Source organism: Homo sapiens, chromosome 12, assembly GCF_000001405.40.
Source record: "Homo sapiens chromosome 12, GRCh38.p14 Primary Assembly".
Taxonomy (NCBI): domain Eukaryota; kingdom Metazoa; phylum Chordata; class Mammalia; order Primates; family Hominidae; genus Homo; species Homo sapiens.
In genome coordinates this window covers 27,713,856-27,740,386 of record NC_000012.12, presented here as the reverse complement: position 1 = coordinate 27,740,386, position 26,531 = coordinate 27,713,856, and the positions used below count along the sequence as shown (strand labels likewise).

At 36.9% G+C, this 26,531-nt stretch overlaps 1 protein-coding gene across 3 annotated transcripts in view; it reads right to left on the bottom strand.

Annotated features, from left to right (window-relative positions):
• MRPS35 (mitochondrial ribosomal protein S35) overlaps positions 1-26,531 on the bottom strand; it is a 45,464-nt gene that overhangs the window by 15,909 nt on the left and 3,024 nt on the right. Inside the window, exons 2-7 of one of the 3 annotated variants that reach the window (NM_021821.4) lie at positions 25,567-25,607; positions 23,929-24,096; positions 20,519-20,579; positions 16,201-16,340; positions 4,831-4,940; positions 2,779-2,848 (exon numbers count right to left, since the gene is read on the bottom strand). In NM_021821.4, coding sequence (NP_068593.2) covers positions 2,779-2,848; positions 4,831-4,940; positions 16,201-16,340; positions 20,519-20,579; positions 23,929-24,096; positions 25,567-25,607 — 590 coding nt within the window. Of the gene's footprint in view, positions 1-2,778; positions 2,849-4,830; positions 4,941-7,536; positions 14,811-16,200; positions 16,341-20,518; positions 20,580-23,928; positions 24,097-25,566; positions 25,608-26,531 lie in introns of those variants that run through there. The other 2 variants (NM_001190864.2, XM_017019780.2) reach the window with 2 other exon arrangements.

Sequence of the window (26,531 nt, the reverse complement as noted above, 5' to 3'; positions counted from 1 at the left end):
CTGAGGTGGGAGGGTCACTTGAACGCAGGAGGCCAAGGCTGCAGTGAGCCATGATCATACCACTGCACTCCAGCCTGGACAACAAAGCAAGACCCTGACTCGAAGAAAAAAAAAAAAAAGCCAAAGGAAGCATATATTTGGGTATTAAATGCTCAGAAGCTAGCCTATAAAAAAAATCAAGCAATGGATTAAAAAGAGGCTCTCTATTTGATTAAATAACGGTGATAACATCAATTTCAAGTATGAATTCCATGTTGGTGAGGGAAAATGAATTTCAATTCAATAAAAATTCTTTTCTAGCAGCTCCGCAAAATTTCACGGCTCATCTGTATTCAAAATCTTCTTCACTGATGGTACTTGTTTAGAAAGCACCAAGAAACAACGGTAATATAGAATTCTTCAAGTATACTTGTTTGGACAGTTGTATGTGGCTACTTATCCTGGCATCAAAGTAATCAGCACTAAAGATCAAAGGCTTCTGTGTGAATCCAGAATGCAACCCTGTTTGGATTCTAAGTCACGGAACCACAGAAAGAATCCCATAAATCAACTTCCACTGAATTTATGCCTATCATTTCCTTCTGGGCAAATTCATTCTAATAGATACTGGCAAAATAAGAAAGTCAAAACGGGTTGTATTTATTGTTAGTTATTAAATCTTTAAGCAGCAACAGCCATAAAGCTGTAGCTAATTCAGCCATGTTGCTGGTTCAAAAGAAAACTTAATTATCTTAAGCCAACAGCATTTCTAAAATCAATTGTGTAGGAAAGAGATTAACTGCTATTCTGATGTTGCTCTTAAAGCCAGAACTAGAAAATCCAGATAAATTATAATAATGGAAATAATTGTAAAGAAGAGAAGAGCTTACCAGCTACTTTTTGTCTTTTACTCATCTCACAACCAAGTTTTTTTCTTTCACTTTCCATTCATCCTCTTGTGTGAAAACTCTTTTATCATAATATGAAGGAAAAGCTGTGAGCAGTTTAGAGAACAGCTGCATGTATTCACAGAATCACAGTAACTTGGGCTGAAAGGAGGTTCCAAAGGCCATGGAATTTAACTACCTATTCAAGGAGTATATTTTTTTTGCCTATCTTCACTAAGTGGCCGATGGATGGAATGTTTTCTACCTACTGAAGTAGCTCATTGCATCTTATGATGGCTCTCTCACAAAGTTCCCCTTGGGAGGGCTGGACATGGTGGCTCACAACTGTAATCCCAGCACTTCGGGAGGCCGAGGCGGGTGGATCACCTGAGGTTAGGAGTTCGAGACCAGCCTGGCCAACATGGCAAAACCTTGTCTCTACTAAATATACAAAAATTAGCCAGGCGGTAGTGGTGCATGCCTGTAATCCTGGCTACTCGGGAAGAATAACTTGAGCCTGGGAGGCGGAGGTTGCAGTGAGCCAAGATCGCTCCACTGCACTCCAGCCTGGGCAACAGAGTGAGACTTTAAAAAAAAAAAAAAAAAAGTTCTCAGTAAACCAAAGTCTGTCTCTGTCTTACTATTGTCGCTACCTTGTTGTATCTCTAAGAGTCATTAAAAACAAATGTAAGCCCTCTTCCATATGAAAACTTTTATTTTTTCTATTTTTCTTTACTTCTTTTTCCTTTTTTCACTGTTTCTGTAGACACTGACATATGAAGTCCTTTCTAAAGAACATGACCCCCTTCTCCAGCTAACTTTATTCCTTTGAATGTTCCTAGTATGAAATGCTATTGAGTCCCCTGTGTTGGGTAAGGCACAAAAAATTTAATTTAAATGCATACCTATAATTATTTTAATTTTAAAAATTACTGTTTCAAACTTTGAGTTACCTAAACATATTGGCTACCAACTTCAAATCAGATGAGGTGTTGCTCAAGCATGGCAAAATCTTCCTTATAAATGTACATACTTACATGAAAACTCTCTAAATTCAGACTCGAGTATTTTTAATATTATTTAAATACAGGTTTAGCATTACTAATCTGAAAATCTAAAATCTGAAATGCTTGAAAATCCAAAACTTTTTGAACACTGATATGACACACAAATGGAAAATTTACACTTGATCTCATGTGATGGAGCACGGTCAAAATTTTCATGCACACAATTACTGAAAGTATTGTGTAAAATTACCTTTAGGCTATGTGTATAAAGTGTATATGAAACATAAATGAATCTCCTGTTTAGACTTGGGTCCCCTCCCCAAGATATCTCATTATATATTAATATGCAAATATTCCAAAATCTGAAAAAATCTAAAGTCTGAAACACTTCTGGTCCCAAGCATTTTGGAAAAAGAATACTCAAGCTATAATTAATTGCCCTTAGTTCTACCTAATGCATAACAGTCAAATGTTCACACAAAATGTTATGTGTTAACTAAAAATTTCAATAAACATTTAAAATACCTTTCTATAAAGTTTTGCTCTGCAGTTTATTTAAAGAGGATGAATTATAAATTCTCAAATTATACAGATAATTATTATTCTCTTCATAGCTGACAACTTTCACCCAAAGTCAAAAAAAGAAAAACAAAGTCAAAAACTCTGAAGTTTCAAGGCATTTTAGGAATATGATTTTAGCAAGGTCCTGAGATGAACTGAATAATCCTATTTCAAGACCTTTACTTTTAAAGTCAGTAGAAGCTACCTATGACATTTCATACATACTTAGATTATTCAGCAGTTCACAAAATACTCAGTTGAGTACTTGCCACAAAGAGTATTTTGAAAGGTTAACATCATCTAAATTACAATGACAAAATCATTAAATATTCACACACACTTACCCAAGACTCATGGTATAACACTGTTAGTAGATACACTGCATAATCGTAATTCTGCCTCCTTAAAGGGCACCTATTAAAGAGAAAGCGGGAGAAGTCAAAATTCTAAAAACTCAGTACACAGAAAAATTTGCAAAATATGCAATATACTAAATACAGAAGATAATGTTTTCAGGTATTCCTTTTCTGCTTTAGGAAAACTGTTTTTGGAATAAAAATAGTCTTTGTAGTTCATTACTTGAGGAAGCTAAACACCGGTGTTATTTTAACTTAATTTCGAGTATCTCTTTGTTTTCATTACTAATGGAGTTATCTGTATGTAACAATAGCTTACGCTACTTTTACTAGGATTGTGTCCAATATAAGTTCCCTTCACCATCTCAGTGCTAAGAATCTGCCAGATAGCATGAACATATCTGATGAGTTCATCTAAAAAGTAGACATAGAGCTAGGCATGTACCTCATGCCTGTAATCCCGGAGGGTGAGGTGGGAGGGTTGCTTGAGGCTAGAAGTTTGAGGCCAGCCTGGTCAACACAGCAAAAACCCTGTTTCTACAAAAATTAAAAAATTAGCCAGGCATGGTGATGCGCACCTGTAGTCCTAGCTACTTGGGAAACTGAGGCAGGAGACTGCATAAGCCCAGGAGTTCAAGGCTTCAGTGAGCTATGACTGTGCCACTGACCTCCAGCCTGGGTGACAGAGTGAGACTCAATCTCTAAAAAAATTTAAAAATAAAAATAAGAAGTAGATATAGAAAGATGATAGATGTTAATCTTGGTTTTCCTAGAGCTGATTCTTTTAAAAATGAGTTACACTATACAATGCTGTGCTGTTGCTGCTGTATTTAAAATGGAACTAATAACTTAAAATTAGGTAAAACTTCTACATACATGAGATGACACATTGAGCTTTAAGGATAATAAAATAATATACAGAAAGATACGATTACTTCCAATTTCTTTAAATATCAAATAAAACCATCATATGACAAATAACTTCAACTATACTGCTTATTCTGTACTTATATTTATTTAAGTCCTCTACTCTAAATAGTTACCATAAAACATATCCATACACTAACACTTGTAAAACTACCTAAAAAAAAAAAAAGCAACATTATTGGATACTCACAGAATTTCAAACAATAACATTTTAAAGGCATTTTTTAAAGTTGCATGAACTAGAAAAGCCAACATTATCTGAAGATAGTAAAAAGACTATTCCTAATATATTTCAAATCTACTTTCTCCCATATGGTAATAATCACAAACCATGGTCCTGAGCTTTTTCTGCCTCCACACTGTTGCAATCTCTGCATGTGTGTCAGGCTCCTTCTTCCCACCACTGCAAATCATGAGACCTAATCGATACTGACACCTCCAAATGCTTTCAAACAGGGATGAGCAGGAAGACAGCAGATCGGCCCACTTAACTTATCTCTAAAAGTGGGTCTTTTTATATTTTGACATAATTTGGAAACAGCTAAAGTATAATTCTAAAAATAAAATAGCCATTTAGTGAAAACATACCAATAACCTTTCTTTACTTCAAATAAAAAATGACGCAATTTATAAATTCATATATGATAAATTTAATATTGCCTTTATAAACATCTGTCCTGGCTCTGAGATTTTGATTATTTACGAATGTGCCTTCATCAATTTCCAAATAGATCCATAGATCATTTAATAATTTTACTTTTGAACTACAAGATTTTTATATGCTTTGAATGTGTAAAAGCCTGCTTAAGCATTAATCACTAGCAAACCACACTTTTTTCTTCTAATCTCTCTCTTGAGTTTTATATACATGGAAATATTAAAATCAAGGTTAAAAATAACATTAAATTAGCTAAGCATGCCGCTGCATAAAGATCACAGCAATAGTAGGCCAGTGTGAGGATATTAAAAATATGAATTAGAGAACTCTGCTTAATAAGAAAAGGCTACGCCCTCCCCCATCTTCAATATAGTTTCTTTAAAAAGGACTGCCAAGGAATTGGAGGACAATGAGGAAACACACGTGACCAGTCGGCTGAACATTTTTTCCATTACCTATCTGTTTTGATGGTAAGCACATCTGTGGTCTTGCAGTATCGCTCTCCTACAAGTTTAATTAATTTCTTCTTTGCGTGATCATCTAAATTCAAACTGGAAAGCTTTACCTTAAAAATAAGAAAAGTTATTTGAAAAAATAATTTCATATAATTGTTTAGTGAAAAAAAGGTAGCAATGTTATTCCTATTAACATTAAATCCACTAAAAAGAAAGCTTTCCAAACTCCTTTCTATACAGAGCAAGCAGTTGGGACATATTATAAACCCTGATCTTACTCATGGAAACAGAAAAAGGGAAGGCAACATACTGTTTGAAGTTCTTTGAAAGTTCTGGGCATTAATGCCTTCCCTGAAAGAACTAACGACATATCTGTTAAATAAATGAAATTATGGTGCTTACGAGTAGCACTAATAGAATTAAACTCAATTAGCGTTAGTTAAGTTGGAATATAGAAATAAATAGATAAAACATAAGGGCTTTAAGAAATTTCTATCATGCAATTATGAGACTTGCATCATTACAAGTTCTACCATGCAATTATGAGACTTGTATCACTGCAACAAGCTTTTTTTAAAAGCTACAGATATCTCATGGAAGCTGGAATACAGCATCAGGGAAGGATCAAAACAATTGAAAAATTCATTTAGCTCAACGTTTCTCAAAATGTTAACACTACTCCCACAGGCTAAGAAGAATTTTTTTAAAAGGCTCTTTCTGTTGAAAATGTTTAGGAAATGCCGAGGTAAATTGGGTTTTTTAAGGTAGCATTTTTTAGAACAGATAATATGCTAATAAGCATCTTGAAATTTCAAAATGCAGGGTTAATATGCAATGATTCTCAAATTTATTTGACGTCAGATTCCACTTTTCAAGGAACGGTTCACAACAGTAGTCTTCCTTAGACATATTTTGGGAAGTGCTAGAACAAATGAACACAATTTTTAATTTGCAGAGAATAAGGGCATGGGCTAAAGGTATTATCTAGAGATGAATACATTTGATACAAGAAGATAGGCCAGGCACGGTGGCTCATGCCTGTAATGCCATTACTTTGGGAGGCCGAGGCGGGCGGATCACCTGAGGTCAGGAGTTCAAGACCAGCCTGACCAACACGGAGATACCCATCTCTACTAAAAATACAAAATTAGCCAGGTGTGGTGGCGCATACCTGTAATCCCAGCTACTCAGGAGGCTGAGGCAAGAGAATCACTTGAACCCAGGAGGCGGAGGTTTTGGTGAGCTGAAATCGCGCCATTGCACTCCAGCCTGGGCAACAAGAGCAAAACTCTGCCTCAAAAAAAAAAAAAAAAAGAAGATAGGTTAGGTTACACACCAGAATACAGTTAAATAAGGTAAAGTATAGGTTAATCTTCTATGGAGAGCATTAAGAATAAAAAAGAGCTGTAACTATATCAAGAAGAAAAAAAGCTAAATAGGATTTTGAAATCTATTTGGTTTTCTGTAGCTTCAATAACTCTGTACACTTCCCTCAAGACATCACAGTATAGTAGCCTATTTATTTTCCCATTTTTTCCCCACTGATTTGAAACCCTTGAGGGTAAGAATGATGCTATCTCGTTCTTGGCAATGGCTTAACACTTAAAATGCATGCAACAAATATTTGCTGAATGAATACATAAATTTTTAAAAGGGAGGATATATTGTTTTTTAAAGCACTGTGAATTTTTGTATTTTGTATTTGAAGTAGAGAAAATAGATAAATATAAATGCACTCTTAAAAACAACTCAAGTAATATGAATACTGACTATTAACTCTCAATTAGACAATGTGAATCACCACAGTTTTCTGGAAAGAGAATGTATCAACTACCAGGTTACTGACTTGACAGATAAAATAAGCCATTTTATACTCTGATTAAAACCAATATGAAGAATTTTTTACAAAAAATAAAATATACCTTTATTATGATTATGAATACACAAATATATGCACATATGCATGTATAAGAGGGAACAGGGAGAGAAAAATAAATAGTTTTTACATTAGGATAGTGAGAATGTTGTGATTTTGCCTTTTTTAAACCTCCCTTCAATGAAATCATAATAATGTCTAACAATAAATTTAAAAGTTTCAAAAGCTTAAAGTATTCTAGCTTTTTATATAAGAAGTGGTCCAAAAAAAGGCAGCAAAGCTGATCATTACTGCAACGTGTAATGTAAGATCACATTCACATTAATTTAAAACTCACATTAACATTAACATTTTAATGTTCAATAACTATATGGAGTTTATGCCAAAAATCATAAATATTTCAGGAACAGTTGTGTGGTGCACTCACGCCACCTGGTAGCACTCAAAGGCACTGCAACATTGTAGTCTTTAATCTGGGCTAATACTTTAACCTGGGCTGAGTGGCATTCACTGTCTTTTATCAAAATTCAAAGTACTTAGATATTTTGCCCTCAGTTGCTACATTTCAAAGAATCGATATAATACTGTTAACATTATCCCCAAAATAACACTGATATTTCAAATCACAGGAGGTGCTGGATATATATATATATATATATATATATATATATATATATATATATATATATATATCTTCAAATGACTACATTTTAACACAAAAAGAGCTACATAAATTCGGAAATGTCTAAACTTGTGAAATATTTTCTCTATATGCAAGTATGATGTGGTTAGTTAAAGAATGCTGGTATTACATAAAAGACAAGAATTGGTTTGATTTGTAGATTTGCCATTTAATGTTACCTTAAATCATGTTACCTCCCTGAGACTCAGTTTCCTCAAGAACACTTAATTCCAGAATTTTTGTCAGAAATAAATGAGATTAATAGAATAAAGCACTTTTGAAGTAAAGTTATATATAAGTTGTTTTTAATCCTAAACTTTTATGACTATCAAAATTTTTTTTTCTGTGCATTAAAACATTTGAGTATGTCCAATAGTAGTTTCTAACAGTTGACTACCTTCACGATATTGCTTTAATCATGCTGGACTGCATGTGCTTTAGTCCACCTGTTTGACCTACGTTTACCCTTGAACTACATGGCACATCCAGGACACCACCACTGAGCCTCAACAGCCAGCAGGTGGGGTGCAGAGTCTAGCAGGGCAGACATGAAGTCAGCAGAAGGGGTACAAGGGAGCAATGAAGGCATCACAGGCTAGCACAAGGCACAGAGAGGACAAGAGGAAAAGCATGATACAAGAAATGAAATCTGGTGCCATCCTTCAAATAAAGCAATGAGATTATTTTTGTGTGAAATAAAATAAGCAAACTTAGAACCAGTAGGGACATTGGATGTCAATTCTAGGACTGAAGACGGAGGCCCACAAAACTTGAGGTGAATAACGTAAATTAAGATCTAGGTTTTCTGACTCTCAGTTCAGAGATTTTTCAACACACAACAGAGCTCAACAACTGTTGGTTGTAGTTGTTACCATTATTATGAAAAATAGGTAACATTTAATATGTTCTTAAAAATATGAACCTGTGGAATGGTACAAGCATGGCTGAACTTTCAATTCTTTTTTTTCTTTTATTGGGATTTTTGAAATTTTATACAGTAAACATATACTGTCTTTGTGATTTAAAAACAGCTTCAATCTAAGAACTTAGTATATTGTTGTGTATTTAAACTGTTCTACAAAATAAAAAAGATTGGAAAGCTTCATAATTCACTTCATAAAGATGGCACAGGCCAGGTGCGGTGGCTCACACCTGTAATCCCAGCACTTTGGGAGGCCAAGGAGGGAGGAACGCTTGAGGTCAGGTGTTCAAGACCAGCCTGGCCAACATGGTGAAACCCCATCTCTACTAAAAATACAAAAATTAGCTGGGTGTGGTGGAGCATTCCTATAATTCCAACTACTTGGGAGGCTGAAGCAGGAGAATCGCTTGAACCATGGAGGCAGAGGTTGCAGTAAGCCAAGATCGCGCCACTGGACTCCAGCCTGGGCAACAGAGCGAGACCCTGTCTCAAAAAAATAAAGTTATATTAAATTAAGAAAAAAATTGGTACAGCCCTGATACTGAAACCTAGCAAAGAAAGAAAACTACAAATCAATCAACAATATCACTGAGGAAAATGGAAAATTCCAGAAATTAAAGATTGTTTATTTGCTAGTACATAATGCGAAAATGGTTGCATAGATTTTCAACACATTTCTTCAGTGTACTTTGAATGTTCTGGCTTAAAGTACAGGCTACACAGAGTATAAAAGTTAATATTTTGAGGGTCCCAGGAGGCACCTCAAAGAGGTAGTAGTCACCCTCCAGACAAATCAAAAGCACATCAGTAAGGGCTCCTTGGAGAAATGCTGATTCTAGGAATGGGACAGGGAAAGAGCCCAGAGCATTTTGTAGTGCCAGAAAATAAGAAATTGCTTAAAAACAAATGACAGGGGCATGGCAAAGGAACAGAAGAGTCACTGGAAAGAGTTCCCAATGGTTAAACTCAGAACAATTTGAGCAAAAAAATAATGTTTTATTGGATTATGACACATAGTGTAAAATAAATATCCATGAGTCCATACTGATATAAATAAATGATTAATAAATAGGGGAGAATGAACAAATTTGCCATATAAAAGGACTGTACATAATTTATGTGATACTTCTTTCTCAAAGAAGTGGAGCATACCTCCTGATCCTTAAGTGTGGGCTCTGCATAGTAACTTTCTTCTAAAGAGTAGAGTATGGGTAAGAGGGGAGGAAGTATAATTTTATGGTGAAGAAAATGGACAAGTACTACCTCAGCCAGGTGATGAAGATTAGCATCATCACTGACAAATCATGGCCGGCACAGTGGCTCACTGCCTGTAATCCCAGCACTTTAGGAGGCTGAGGTGAGAGTATCACTTGAGCCCAGGAGTTCCAGACCAGCCCTGGCAACATGGCAAAACCCCCTGGCAACATGGCAAAACCTCATCTCTACAAAAAATACGAAAACTAGCTAGCCGTGGTGGCTTGCGCTTGTAGTCCCAGCTACTGGGGAAACAAAGGTGGGAGGATCACCAGAGCCTGGGAAGGTCGAGGCTGCAGTGAGCCGTGCTTGTGCCACTGCACTCCAGCGTAAGTGACAGAATGAGACACTATCTCAAAAAAACAAACAAAACAAATCATCTTAATAGCCTATACTCTCGATATGATGTGATGAGAATGGCACTTTATTTCTGGGGTTTTTCTCCCCAAACACACAACAAGTTGAAAGACATTCTACCAAATATACAACTAGTACTTCTCAAAACTGTTAAGGTCATCAAAAACAAGTCAAGTCTGAGAAACATCACACCCAAGATAAACCTAAGAAATTATGATGACTAAATGTGATTTGTAAACTGGATGGGATTCTGGAACAGAAAAAGGGTATTAGAAAAAAACTAAGATAATCTGAACAAAGTAGGGACTTTAATAACAATAAATTCAATATTGATTCAGTATCAATATTAATTCACTAGTTGTGACAAACGTACCATAGTATATTTTAAGATGTTTACAACAGGGGAACCTGGGTCTGAAATTCTCTACTATTCTTGGAACCTTTCTGTAAACTAAAAACTATTCTAAAATAAAAAGTTTAATTTTAAAAAGTATATCAGGTAACTGCTCCATGACTGCTGTGTGAAAAAGATATGCCATGTGTACCAAGATTTCTTTGACAAAGGAAACAAACAGTGACTTCAAATACTAAATTAGAAGTTCCTAGGGCAGACACTTGGAAGTGCAATGGCACGTGGCGTGGTCCAGGTGAGTAACAGTAGGGATCTCATGTTTCTCCAAAGCAATATGGCATCCGGACAAATGACCCTAAGTAAAATTCTAGCACAGCAAATCAGCAGTAGAATAAAAGAATGATACACTATGAACTGACCAGGGTTCAGAAATGCATCAGTATATTGAAAACCTATTGATGTAATTTATGACTTCAATAATTCAAAGGAGGTAATTTCATAAATGCTAGTAATCTAAGAATAGGATACACCATTAACATAATAAACACTATTATCTCACTGAAATCCTACCTCATACTTGAGGTTAAACACTAGAGGCACAGACAATTAAAGTATGCAACAGCATAAGGAACTACAGAAATATGACTTCAGAAATTTTATCTAATGCAAAAGACAAAAAGAAAAAACAAGCTATGGTTACTTGAAAAGGGGAATTAAAACTACCATTATTTATCTATTATGTCTTGAGAAATTTCCGAAAGAATCAGCTGAGAAGTCCTAGCATCCAGATCATGGTCTGTAAACACCACTGTCCACTGGCAGGTATTAGGGCTCCTTGAAAAATGGCTGATTCCAGGTCCGGGATAAGAAATTTATAAAAATGAGCCTGAACCATCTTGTGTCAAAATACAAGGAAACTTTCAAATGCTAAAGGATTGTAACAAAAGGACACAGGAACCAACTTAAAAGAGTTCCCACTGGCCAAAGGTAAGATAGATATACTTCGAGGACCAAAAAGAATAATGATTTTACTTGATATCCACCCACAGATTACTTGTTCAAGGGAAAAGCAAAACAAAAATCTTCACAAAGGAATGATTAGGTTGTCAGCTTCTTAGCCAAGTGCTCAATTTCAGCATACTGAGAATGAGGCCACCAGACTTTACGTGCCCCTGATGCAATATAAAATACATAGCAATATCTATAAAGTATTCTTGCCAAACATATTTAACTGGAATCTTATCAGCCCTTTAAATCTAACTTCCAGGTTATGTGAAATACAGGAGATAAAGAAATAAGGTAAATGACATCCAGATGCAATGGGGCAAATTCAGAAGATAGGAAATGTTACAAGATAAATACCCTGTCTCTTTAACAAGTCAAATTCATCAGGAAGAAGGGAGGGAGGTGGGGTTGTTTGCCATTCCAGATAACATAAGATACATCATTACCAAATACAATGGTCTTTGGCGGGATTCTGGTTTCAATAACAGAGCTTAAAAAATACCATTTTGTAAGGCAATAGGGGAAATATAATGTGGAGTAGATATTTTAGATGATATTTGGGAATTACTGACAATTTTGTTACATGTGGTAATAGTATTGGAATTAAATAGGAAACATCTCCTTAATTCTTAGAGATAACACACTGAAGTATTTTAGTGTGAAACATTAGGTGTCAGAAATGTTAAGGTACTTAGATGTGTATGTATGTGTATGAAGCAAATTTGTCAAAATATTAATTACTAAATCAAGATGCCATGTGTATGGGTATTTATTATATTAGCCTCTTTCTACTTGTCCATACATTTGAAAATTTTCATAATAAAAAATTTAAAAAAGAGAATTTGGTAAAGTAGCCAAATGAAAAGTTAAAAGATAACTATATGACTTTTGACAAGGATGTCAAGACCATTCAATGGGAAAGAATAGTCTTTTCAAAAATGGTATTGGATCAACATGCAAACGGAATGCAAAAGAATGAAGCTGGACCCCAGCTTCACACCATATCCAGTTAGCCCTTTGTCTCCACGGGCTCCACATTTGTGGATTCAACTAACCGTGGATTGGAACGTGGATTGAAAATATTCAGAAAAAATAACAATATAACAATTTTTAAACTGCATATTCTTAAAATACAGTATAACAACTATTTACGTTGTATTAGGCATTATAAGTAATCTAGAAATGACAAAGTATATAGGAGGATGTACTAGGTTATATTCAATATTCAAATACTATGCCATTTTATATCAGGGACTTAGGCATCCACAGATCTATGAATTTACAAGCGTTCCTGGAACCAATCCCAAACAGATACTGAGGAACAACTGTATGATAATTAACAAACAATAGGTCATAGATCTAAATGTAAGAGCTAAAACTATAAAACTTTTAGGAGGAAACACAAGAGTGAATCTTTTATGACCTTGAATAAGACAATGATTTCTTACATATGACACCAAAAGCACAAGAAACAAAAGGAAAAATACTGTCATACGCCACTTAACAATATTTTTTGACAAAGACATGGCTAGGTGATTTTGTCATGTACAAACATCATTATGTATTTACACAATCCTAGGTGGTACAGCCTACTACACACCTAGACTACATGGTATAGTCAATTGCTCCTTGGCTACAAACCTGTGTAGCATGTTACTGTTAAATACTGTAACAACTGTAACAAAATTGTACTTGTGTATTTAAACATATCTAAACATAGAAAAAGTGCAGTGAAAATACAGTATTATAATCTCTTGGGACCACTGTTGTGTATGTGTTTATCACTGACCACAACATCATTATGCAGCACATGACTTACATAAATTGGACTTCATCAAAATTAAAACTTCTGTGCTTAAAAGGCTCACGCCTCTAATCCCAGCATTTTGGGAGGCTGAGGCAGGCAGATCACAAGGTCAGGAGATCGAGACCATCCTGGCTAACACGGTGAAAACCCCATCTCTACTAAAAATACAAAAAATTAGCCAGGCGTGGTGGCGGGTGCCTGTAGTTCTAGCTACTCGGGAGGCTGAGGCAGGAGAATGCTGTGAACCCAGGAGGCGGAGCTTGCAGTGAGCTGAGATCGAGCCACTGCACTCCAGCCTGGGTGACAGAGTGAGACTCCGTCTCAAAAAAAAAAAAAAAAAAGGACATCATCAAGAAAGTAAGAGGACAACCCAAAGAATGGAAGAAAATGTTTACAAATCATATATCTGAGAAGGGACTGGGACTGGTGTCCAGAATATATAAAATACACTTATAACTCAACAATCGAAAGATAAACAACCCAATTAAAAAACAGGCAAAGGATATGAACAGACATTTCTCCAAACATATACAAATAGTCAACAAGCACATGAAAAGATGGTTATTAGGGAGACACAAATCAAAACTACAATGATACTTTCATACCTATCAGAATGGCTAAAACTAAAGGACAGGTAATAACCATTAGTGAGGATGTGGAGAAATAGAAAGCCTCAAACTTGCTGGTGAAATTGTAAAATAGTGAAGCCACTTTGAAATTGTTTTTCAAAAACAGTTTGGCAGTTCCTCAAAATGTTAAATATGGAGGTGCCATGCAACTCAGTCATTCCACTGCTAGGTATATACCCAAGAGAATGGAAAACACATATCTACACAAAAACCTGTATGTGAATGTTCAACAGCATTATTCATCCAAAAAGTAGACACAACCCAAATGTCCACCAATTAATGAATGGATAAATAAAATGTGGTATATTCATAAAATAAAATATTTGGCAATAAAAAGAAATGATAAAATAATACATGCTACAACAGATGAAACCTATTGAAAACATTACACTAAGTGAAAGAAAACATATTGCATGGTTCCATTTCTGTAACACATCAAGAATAGGTAAATCCAGAGACAAAAAGTAGATTAGTGGCTAAAAGGGGCTTGAGGATGGTTAAGGGGGGAATTCTATAGCAAGTGAACTATGTCTCAATAAAGCCATTATTAAAAAGAAACAACGGCCCTGTAGTGGTGGCTCACATCTGTAATCCCAGCACTTTGGGAGCCCAAGGCAGGCAGATCGCCTGAGTCCAGGAATTTGAGACCAGCCTGGGCATCATGGCAAAACCCTGTCTCTACAAAAATTCAAAAAAATTGGCCAGGCATGGTGGCACACTCCTGCAGTTCCAGCTACTGCTCAGGAGGCTGAGATGGGAGAATCACTTGAGCCCGGATGGAAGAGACTGCAGTGAGCCAAGATCGCGCCACTGCACTTCAGCCTGGGTGACAGGGTAAGACCCTGTCTCAAAAAAAAAAAAAAAAAAAAAAAAAGGTATACAAGGAATCAATACACCACCAAAATGAGCAAATGACAAAAAATACATGTTTTGCAAAGGAATAAATCCTCAACCTCACTAGTATTCAAAGACATACAAATTTTAAATATAAGACAAATTTTTTACCTATCAAGTTGACAGGTAATATGTAGGTTGGTGAGAGCACAGGAAAGCAGGCCTTCTCACATTCTGCTGGGATTATATTTTTTTACATTTCCTGCAGGAATTTTATAATATATATCAACAAACTTCAAGAGCTATATCCTTTGACCTCATAGTTCTCCTTTCAGGAAGTTATCTTAGGAACATCATTAGAAATACATACAAATATTAATACCTAAGAATATTCATTAAAATATTTTTCTAATAAAGAAAACCATTAAAAAGCCTAAAGGTTCCATAATACAGATAAATTATGGTAGCCCTGTATTATGAAATTATTTATATATCACACTTCAGTCTCAGAAAAAAGGCTAAGTTTGAAGTGATCAACATTACACCCCCAGATTCAAACACTGTCTTGGTACATAACAATCTCTCATTTATACGTTATTCTATGCAGCCATTAAAATTAAATTAGATTGGGTGCAGTGGCTCACACCTGTAATTCCAGTGCTTTGGGAGGCGGAAGTGGGAAGATCACTTGAGCCAGGAGTTCAAGAAAAGCTGGGCAACAAAGTGAGATCCTGTATCTACAAAAAATTTAAGAAAATGGGCTGGGCAGTGTCTCACACCTGTAGTCCCAGCCACTTTGGAGGCTGAGGCAGGACAATCAATTGAACCCAGAAATTGGAGGCCACATTGAGCTATGTTAGTGCCACTACTCTCTGCCTGTCAGATCTCATCTCAAAAAAATTCAAATTAAATTAAAGAATGTTTAATATTATTGGGAAATGTTTAATTCTTGTTAAGAGACTGCTGAACACATACAGTATCATCCCATTAATATACACAAAGGCAGGCTGTGACTATATACTAAAATGAGCTACTATAGTTAACAGTGGTTACAAATAGTAGATTTACGGGCAATTTTGTAATTTTTTTTTTTTCCGAGATGGAATCTCGCTCTGTCACCCAGGTTGGAGTGCAGTGGAGCGATCTCAGCTCACTGCAACCTCTGCCTCCCGGGTTCAAGCAATTCTCCTGCCTCAGCCTCCGGAGTAGATGGGATTACAGGTGCCCACCACCACGCCCAGCTAATTTTTGTATTTTTAGTAGAGACGGGGTTTCACCATGTTGGCCAGGCTGGTCTTGAACTCCTGACCTCAGGTGATCCGCCTGACTCGGCCTCCCAAAGTGCTGGGATTACAGGCAGGAGCCACCATGCCTGGTGTATAATTTGAAACTTGTATTTTCCAAAATTTCTGTGAAAAATATTACAGTTTTATAATCACACATATCAATTTCTTTCTTTATTTTTAGAGATAGGTTCTTGCTATGTTGCCCAGGCTGGCGTCAAATTCCTGGGCTCAAGCAATTCTCCCACCTTGGCCTCCCAAAGTGCTGGGATTACAGGCATGAGCCACTGTGCCAGCCACCAAAGACATCTTTAAATAATGTATTAGAATGATTCTTATTTAAAAAAAAAAAATGAAAAAAACTCTTACTCTTAAGACTACTACTCGTGCTCTGGGGTTCCGAACAGATGGTCCTGATGAAACATAATCAGTGCTGTCAATTTCAATTGGAAAATGCTTCTCACATTTCTCGTCACTGTCCAGTGCGGCTGGCCACTCAGTGCAAAAATCTGAGAATAAAAGAAATAATTTCAATTACACTTTTGCAAGTAAATTCTCATTGTAATGCATACTACTAGACAATACCAAATTACTGAGAGCATCACCAAGTTACATGAAAGAACAGATTCTCTTCTGCACTTTACATATATAGCATCATCCCTTATCCCTTTTCCTATCAGGTACATCCTAAATTAGGCAATTTAATTAGGGAATTCTTTGGATATTTCAGGTTTGGTGGTAATGGTATTTTCAGTTAAAAGGGAACTGTGCCTTGATGGAAGCTTATTATAAGCTTTGCACATATCTGTTACTGGACAGTTTACTTCCTCTGTACCAACTAAAAGCAAACAGTTCATAGTGCCCACAGCATTACTGTTTTCAAAAAAGTAACAGATAGTATTAATTACTAAAGGTTACTAAAGATCAGCTGAAAGGAATTGAAAGCTCTCAAAAAGCCCTAAGAAGAAACTGAGATGGAGTCAACAGTCGTCTAGAAATTTGGCTGAATAGAACCTCAACTCAAACAGGTACAAATGCCTAAGCCCTTAAATGGATTCTTATAAGAACTGATATTTTTTCTATGTGACTTCTATGTGCCAATGGGGTTAAATGGAAAGAAGAAAGCCTTGTCCTCATATTTGGGCAAGAGAGCATAGAGAGGAAGTGGGATTGGGTCTGAGACCTAGGCCACAACAGGAGCTCCAAGCACTGTGAACATGCCTCTCTATCTTCATAACACAGAAGCATAAACTCAGGCCCCTAATGGGAAAAAAAAAAAAACTTAAAGGAAAAGAGGTAGCTCCCAGCTTCCCCCAGGTATCAGAGCTGATTTCATCTTGTCCTGTTTCAATCAAGTTAGCATGGCAGAGAACTTTCAGCTTGAGATGAAAACTTCTGGCACTATAAGGCTGTCCACAATGGAAATCTCATTTCTTAAACAGCCTCACTCTAAGAACAGCTAAAAGTAACTGGTTTCTTGGGTCAAACATATTAGACTGCACAGATCCATGCTTCCTCCAAAAAAGCACAACTGCAGAAAAGGCTGGTCATAATCACAGGCAGATGTGGGAGCTCTTCTAGGTGACAGTCTAAGGGGCAGTGAGAACTATTTTGCCAATAACATTTCCTTGGGCTAACGATTTTCTTATAATAGGAACAATATTTTGCTCTCATTTAGGCTTTAAAATCAGAGTCTGCAAAATGTCACTCTGGATTACAAAGACTCTCTGATATCTGGGACTAAACATGTTAACAAATTAAACATAGTTCACTCCATTCCTTGAACACTGTTTAAAAAATCAATACCCGGTCGTTTTGAGGGGAAAGAAGTATCTTTGCAATTAACATCATTGTAACATTGAAAAAATATGAACAGAGCAAGATTGTTGAGGCTGAATTTCATTCCCATCATGAACTTACTCCAATATCCTGCACTATAAGATGCATCACTTCCAAGCACTTTATAAGAGAGACTAGTTTGGGGAATTTTGTGAGCTCTTGGGTTTGCACTGACTCTTTTTTCTTTTACTTAAAAAAAAAAATGTGAATAAGTCATTTCAATCATCAAATGATAATTACAGTTTTAAAATTAAATTACCTAAATTATATGTCTAAAAAAAGACAGCCAAATGGAAAACACATAATAGACTCCTATTAGCCTTTACTCATCTGATAGGTAGAGCAATAGATGAGACTTTGGAAGACCTTAGTTTGTATTTAACTTCTGCCACTGATTATTAAAGTTTTGGTAAATTACCTAACTTTCCCATGCTTCAGATTTTCCATTTGCAAGTTAGATATAAAATCTGAACTGACCTACTTTGAAAGAAAACTGAGAAGAAGTACTTGAAAAGCCTTTGAGTTATACGGAAGACGCAATCTGAATCCGGAGGCCAGCAGCAAGTGTAAAGGGATAATTAAGGAAAGATTAAGACACTCATTTAAATACTATAAAATATAATGCCACTCTTCCGAATGTGCTGTATAAAAGCCTTTCATTTAATTTTTTTAAACTTTTTTATTTTTATGTTTTTTTGCGACAGGGTCTCACTCTGTCGTCCACCTCAGCCTACAGAGTAGCTGGGACCACAGGCATGCGCCATCACACCCCAGCTAATTTTTTAATATTTTTGTAGAGACATGATCTCACTATGTTGCTCAGGATGGTCTCAAACTCCTGGGATCAAGCAATCCTTTTTCCTTGGCCTCTCAAAGTGCTGTACTGTGGAATTAAAAGCATGAGCTACCACGCCCTGTCACATTTAAAAAGAAGAAACATGGAATTTTTCACAGTGCAATGCCATTTGTTAACTGTCTTTACAGATGATCAAATACTAATACATGATTTGTGGCAAACGGGACAAAAACTTGTTATTTTATTTTATTTTTTTTTATTGTTTGAGACAGGATCTCACTTTGTTACCCCGGCTGGAGTGCAATGGCGTGATCTGAGCTCACTGCCGCCTCAATCTCCTGGGTTCCAATCCTCCTGCCTCAGGCCCCCGAGTAGCCGGGACTACAGGCACATGCCACCACACCCGGCTAATTTTTTGTGTTTTTTGTAGAGATGGGGTTTCACCACATTGCTCAGGCTGGTCTTGAACTCCTGAGCTCAAGCAATCCACCCACCTCAGACTCCCAAAGTGCGAGCATTACAGGTGTGAGGCACCATGCCCAGCCTGGGACACAAATTTGGAAGTGATCAGTTTTAATCTAATTCCAGGCACAAATGCATAGAGAAACACACACTCTAAAGGGATAGAAAAGCATCCCAATGTCCTAAAGTAGAAGACCTATTAAGAGGCAACAGATTTTTCCTCCCTCATTTCAAGAGTAAGGTTATTATTCCTATGTTTTAGGACCTCTTTATATAGTCTTCCTTACATTTTTAAACGGAAGGCCCTTTCAAAAGCTCAAATTTAATCATAATTATGTTTACTATTCCACATCTCCTTCCCAACATAATCAGGATACTTGTGAAGTGTTTCTAGGTTTCATATTCTTTCCTGAAAAGCCTTAGTAAGTATACTGAGCATGTAATATACAACACCTTTAAATCAGCATGAGTATATTAAGACTTTATCCAAAGGTACCAACTCCTAAATAAATCTAATCAATCATAACTATCAATCAGAACTTAAATTGGAATATATACATAATTATAAAAGCATACACAGAACCATGAGTTAAAAAATGTTATTTGCCTTTACCTCCATGCATGTAGAAAGAAGGAGAAGGAGAAGTAGTAGTGTAAGTACATGAAATCTATGTTTATACCTAGAAATCAATAGGTTTTCAAAATCAATAAATCCAGAACTGAAGGTGTAATCATATTCCAGTGATTACTTCTGTTATTTTATAAATACACATACACACTACAGAGAGTATACAAGTATATATAAATATATATACTACAGAGTATTATAAATATAAGCATATATACATAAATAAATGAGGGGCTGGGGATGGTAAAGAAAGCACATAAGGCTAGTGCTTTTTCATCATAAGCTCTTTTACTATTTGATTTACCACATGCATGTGTCACTAATTTTTTAAAATTTTAAATAATTTCTTCAAGATAATTCTTCTCTGTGAAGTATCTGCAACATTTACTTTAGTCTTCTTATATGGAACATGTTTGTTTTCTTTTTTTTTTTTTTTGAGATGGCGTTTCCCTCTTGTTGCCCAGGCTGGAGTGCAATGGCGCGATTTAAACTCACCACAACCTCCACCTCCTGAGTTCAAGCGATTCTCCTGCCTCAGCCTCCAGAGTAGCTGGGATTATAGGTGCCTGCCACCATGCAGGACTAATTTTTTTGTATTTTTAGTAGAGACAGGGTTTCACTATGTTGGCCAGGCTGGTCTCAAAATCCTAACCTCAGGTGGTCTGCCCGCCTCGGCCTTCCAAAGTGCTGGGATTACAAGTATGAGCCACCACACTCAGCCTTATGTGCATGTTTTCTAAAACTCAACAGTAAGTCCCTAACTTACCTGTGAACAAGGATCATGGTTTCTAATTATTATTCCTAATACCTTGTAGTGGTTAGCAAAAACAATTTGCAGACTTGACATGTAACAATTCACTGAAAACAACTTGAATATAAGGCTATACAGTATATCAGAACAGAGATTCTTAAATTTATGTTCAAAGTCAATATAAAATTCATATAAGAAAATAACCACTTACCTTTAAGGGCTTCACAGTGCTTTTTAATTGCTACAGGAGTCAAATGCAGAAAATTGGGAATCTTAAATAGAGAAATTTAAAAGATAAATTAGCTAAATGTCTTAAAAACATGAAAAAGATAATCTTCTCATAAAACTAAATCACAGGCCCAATAAAACATGTAGTAAATAAAATCTGTTTGTTTTTTTTTTTTTTTGAGACAGAGTCTCGCTCTGTCGCCCAGGCCGGACTGCGGACTGCAGTGGCGCAATCTCGGCTCACTGCAAGCTCCGCTTCCCGGGTTCACGCCATTCTCCTGCCTCAGCCTCCCGAGTAGCTGGGACTACAGGCGCCCGCCACCACGCCCGGCTAATTTTTTGTATTTTTAGTAGAGACGGGGTTTCACCTTGTTAGCCAGGATGGTCTCGATCTCCTGACCTCATGATCCACCCGCCTCGGCCTCCCAAAGTGCTGGGATTACAGGCGTGAGCCACCGCGCCCAAAATCTGTTTTTTTACAATATTGATTTTCTGTCACGGATGTTGTCAATTCAAGAAATACACTTCTTAAAATATAGATTCAGCACCAAGTAATTTACAGTGATACCTGGATTTGTCTTCAGATCATATAAATCTTTTGTCTTTTACCAAGCATCTTATAATGACAATCATGATGAAAAAAACTAAACATCATTTTTACAGTATTCTTCCTGCCACAAATCTACAGGTATACATGTATATTTCCTTTATAAAACTGAAAGGACTTAAGCACGTGGATTTTTGTTTTGTTTTTTTCTTTTTTCTGAGACAGGGTCTCGCTCTGTCACCCAGGCTGGAGTGCAGTGGCACAATCTCAGCTCACTGCAACCTCTGTCTCCCAGGCTCAAGCAATTCTCCTCCCTCAGCCTCCCAAGTAGCTGGGATTACAGGCATGTGCCACTATGCCCGGCTAATTTTTGTATTTTTAGTAGAGACGGGGTTTCACCATGTTGCCTAGGCTGGTCTCAAACTCCTGGCCTCAGGTGACCTGCCCGCCTTGGTATCCCAAAGTGCTGGGATTATAGGTGTGAGCCGCTGTGCCCGGCCAGGATATGGATCATTGTTTAATCATCCCAATTCCCCTGGGCTGCATAGCATGACAGTATTTCAACTTTGTACATAATAAACATTTTATGAACTAATAAGTGAAGGTAGCAAATCTTAACTGGATAGTTTAATGAAGTTAGGAATATATTTATGATGACACATTAAAAGGCTACTGAATCATTCATAGTGTGAATGAAAATGCAGGAAAGGTCAGAGATTTGATTTCTTCAAATAAATAATTAGCATTTATTAGGTCATTTCTTGAATAATGTTAAACATCTGAAAGAGCTTAAAGGCTCATTTGGAAAGAAAATTTAAACAAGCCGAAAGTTACTCCACGAATTATGCCAAGTATCTTGAGGGCTGATCAGAAAATAATGTTTTTTGTTTTTGAGATGGAGTCTTGCTCTGTCGCAGTGGCACGACCCCGGCTCACTGCAACCTCTGCCCCCTGGGTTCAAGTGATTCTCCTGCCTCAGTCTCCCAAGTAGCTGGGATTACAGGCATGCGCCACTACACTTGGCTAATTTTTTTGTAGTTTTAGTAGAGATGGGGTTTTGCTATGTTGGCCAGGCTGGTCTCCAACTCCTGACTTCAAGTGATCTGCCTGCCTTGGCTTCCCAAAGTGCTGGGATTACGGGTGTGAGCCACCACACCTGGCCAGAAAATATTGTTTTAATCAAGAGAAAATAGGCACTGAAAACTGGGATTTGGGGATGGGCAGCTTCATTTGCTGTACTTTTTGGTTTTTTCCTTTTTATACATTTTAAAAATTATAAACCCTAGTGTTGAGGGGCTACTTTTAACAGATCAGAGTGATAGACTTTTATTTTTGAAACATGAACATATAAAACTCAAATATCATGAAAGGAAAAAACAATAGACAATTTGCATGGACTTACATAGGCACAGTTCTATGCACTTTGCATACATTAGCTCAGTTAATAAGCTTATTCAATGACACCATTACTACAAATAAATGGCATGCATTAAATGTTTGGATTTTTATGTTTATTAAAATGTCATTTACAACCATTAGCATTATTGCAAATATACCGCTACTCTCTCACCCAGTGATTCTCCAAAGACCTCTTTAAACAAAATTATCTTCTTTCATTCAAAGAAAACATTTGTTTTCCTTGATGTATGCTTTCTTGTGTCTTCACATTCCCATTTCCAAATTTCATTTACCCCTGTCTCCAGCAACAGAGTACCCATTCTCCCTGTTCTCATCACCTTTTAGCAAACTTTTGTTTTTCAAAGACTCTCATCTAATGGAAAACAGTTCATTGTCCTTTGTATAACTTTCATTGTATTTAAGAAACCATCTAAGATATGCATTCCCAGACTAAGCATTTATATTTTCTTTAAAACACCCATGATAAATAATTATACATGCTATCAAACAAAGCATTTGCCTTAACCTATTTTGCTTCAAGCAATAAAGTTAAATTTGGTAGACTATAATAATAATACTAAATAATATTCTACCTTTATGGACAGAAAAAATTTAAATTCCTCTTTTTAAACTGGAAGTTTCACCTCCCAATTCTTAATCTCAAATTAGGTTATTTCATTTTTCTTAATTCCACTGGAAAGATGCAATATAGAAAAGATATGATAGGCTGGGTGTGGTGGCTCACACCTGTAATCCCAGCACTTTGGGATGCTGAGGCAGGCATGTCTCTTGAGCCCAGGAGTTCAAGACCAGCTTGGGCAACATACTGACCCCCATCTCCAAAAAGAAGAGATACAACAGAAAAAGGTCACAAGGGAAGCCACAAGATTGACTAATTACTCTTTTTTTTTTTCCTGAGACAGAGTCTCACTCTATCGCCCAGGCTGGAGTGCAGTGGCGCCATCTCGGCTCACTGCAACCTCCGCCTCCTGGGTTCAAGCAATTCTCCTTTCTCAGCCTCCCAAGTAGCTGGGATTACAGGTGCCCACCACCACGTCTGGCTAATTTTTTGTGTGTTTTTAGTAGAGATGGGGTTTCACCATGTTGGCCAGATTGGTCTTGAACTCCTGACCTCAAGTGATCTGCCCACCTCGGCCTCCCAAAGTGCCAGGATTACAGGCGTGAGCCACTGCGCCCAGCCAACTAATTACATTATTAAATGCCTAGGATTCTTTGAGTATTCTTTACCATTGATAATCAAAATACAACACCTATTATTATCTGGTGTTGTATAATAATAAACCTATTATATTATTTTTAACATTTAAATTAAAATACACTAAGCTGCTATACACTGAACGGTGAAGCATAAGAGAGCAGAAATAGGGGGGAAGATCAGCATTTATTTCTATGTAAGTCTGAGCCAATGAATCAGCAATTTGTCTTACCTTTAAAAGTTCTAGATTTCCCTCCTTTGCCATGGGCACGCCCTTTTTTACTGGATAACCCATTCGAACAGGAAGAGGTACTGCAGAGGGTTTAAATGGTGCTGCAACTGGGTAAACACTAGGCCAGTCCTGGTCAACAGCCATTTTCTCTGTCCTAGGAGGTAGTGCCTAAGAAATATAAAATCGTTTAGTATTTTAAATATAAACACATTCTTTAATTCTTAAAGAATTTTAATTTTAAAGCAAAAAGCTACAATTACAAGAAATAGAAGCAAAATTGCAACATATGTAAAATCTGACCTCCCACAATGCTGCTGCTGTCCAAATTTTAAAAACAACACTAAATCTACCTAAATATCTCTGCACTGTTTCTTCAAACCCTCTGGCAAGGATCCCCTTTAATATCACATTTTCTTCACTAAAAATTTCTTTAACTGGACTTTTAGCAAAATTTTTACATTTTGCTTATGAAAGGGTGAATTAACAATACATTTTGAAATAATTTTTCGAACTTCTTTGATGGAAGTCAGTAGTACATGAGGGGGCGTTAAGTACTTGGAAGTAAAAAGAAAAGGAAAAAATAATTAGGGTTAAACTGATTGAATAAATATATAATGAAAAATTATATGTCTCCTAGGCCCAGAGAAAAACTAGTACTTGATAGCTTAGTCAATCACATTAACATTTATTTTTAATGGCATCAAATACGAGGGGATGGCCCACATACAAAAGTAGGGTTTATAGTGGCAAAATTCAGCCATGCCCCGCCTACGCAATATCAAAACCAGTGTAGTCAATATCCTAGAAGCAGGTAATAGTCCTGAGGAAATGACTGCTCTTAATGATTGTAATTTGATACCATTTAACTTCCAACTAATGTGTCTTTGTTCTGACACTATTGCTCACCAACTGACCTTATCGTTTAGATTCCTCCATAGAAGTAAGGAATCCAAATGTCCACAGGGTGAGACTCAACTAGTTAGAATACGGCCAGGTGCCGTGGCTCATGCCTGTAATCCCAGCACTTTGGGAGGCCAGGTGCAGTAGCTCACGCCTGTAATCCCAGCACTGAGGCGGGTGGATCACCTGAGGTCAGGAATTCAAGACCAGCCTGACCAACATGGTGAAAACCTCTCTCTACTAAAAACACAAAAAATTAGCCAGGCATGGAGGTGTGTGCCTGTAGTCCCAGCTACTTGGGAGGCTGAGGCAGGAGAACCACTTGAACCCGGGAGGCAGAGGTACCAGTGAGCCAAGACTGCACCACTGCACTCCAGCTGGGCAACAAGTGGGAAACTCTATCTCAAATAAATAATAATAAATAAATAAACAAACTAGTTATATTAATGCATAAGTCCCAGGCTGCAGGACTTAAGATAGCATTAGAAATTGTTCCATATTCTGGTTTATACACCTGTTTCCTGGGAGTTCCTCAGTAAGTCAACCTCTCAAAGATCATCTATTCTCTGGGTACTGACAAAAAACAAAGACTAACCTCTGCCAGGGCTATGGCAATCACCCAGTAAACATGACCTTGTGAAGTCTTCTCTGGTAACACCCTTCTGCCTTATAATGAATATCTGCCTCATTTTAGAACTCCAGAAACCATTAAGATAGTAGAGTATACGAACTTTTTACCTTTCTTCTTGGTGGCCTTTCATTTCCGGGTGTTCTTTCCGCTGTACGTAAAAGATAACACAGTAGTTAAAGAGAATTTTATCATGTCAAGTTAGTTGTTCAACATCAATCATGATCCCATTATTCTAACACAATTTAAGGTATTTAGTAACATAACAATGAAACAATCTTTTTTTTTTTTTTTTTGGTAAGCTCAGGGACCAAAATCATCTTAATGAAGACTAAAAACTGGAAACAGAGGGAGTCTCGGCGTATCACCCAGATTGGATTGCAGTGGTGTGATCTCGGCTCACTGCAACCTCTACCTCCGGAGTTCAAGTGATTCTCCTGCCTCAGCCTCCCAAGTAGCTGCGACTACCAGTACACCCCACCACACCTGGCTAATTTTTGTATTTTTAGTAGAGATAGAGTTTCACCATGTTGGCCAGGCTGGTCTCAAACTGCTGACCTGAAGTGATCCGCCTGCCTCAGTCTCCCAAAGTGCGGTGGGCAGGTGTGAGCCACTGTGCCTAGCCCCAGTAAGGAAAATTCTACAGTTATTTGAATTGCAGATACAGTGAATTCATTATCTAAAAAATGACTCTTACAGAGTCTGTCAAGTAAGACAACTTTTTAACAAATAATTTCAATAAACAGTGATAAATATTATGAACACATATAGCAGGGAACGAAACCTAGTCAATTAGTTTGTATGACGGTGAATTTTTTCTTTTTTCTCTTTCTTTCTTTTTTTTTTTTTTTTTTTGAGACAAGGTCATCTCACTCTCGCCCAGGCTGGATTGCAGTGGTGCAATCTCGGCTTACTGCAGCCTCGAACTACCAGGTTCAAGCCAATCCTTCTACCTCAGCACCCCAAGTAGCTAGGACTAAAGACATGAGCACACCCGGCTAATTCTTGTAGAGACGGTGTTTCGCCATGTTGCCAGGCTGGTCTCAAGCTCTTGAGCTCCAGCGATCCACCCACC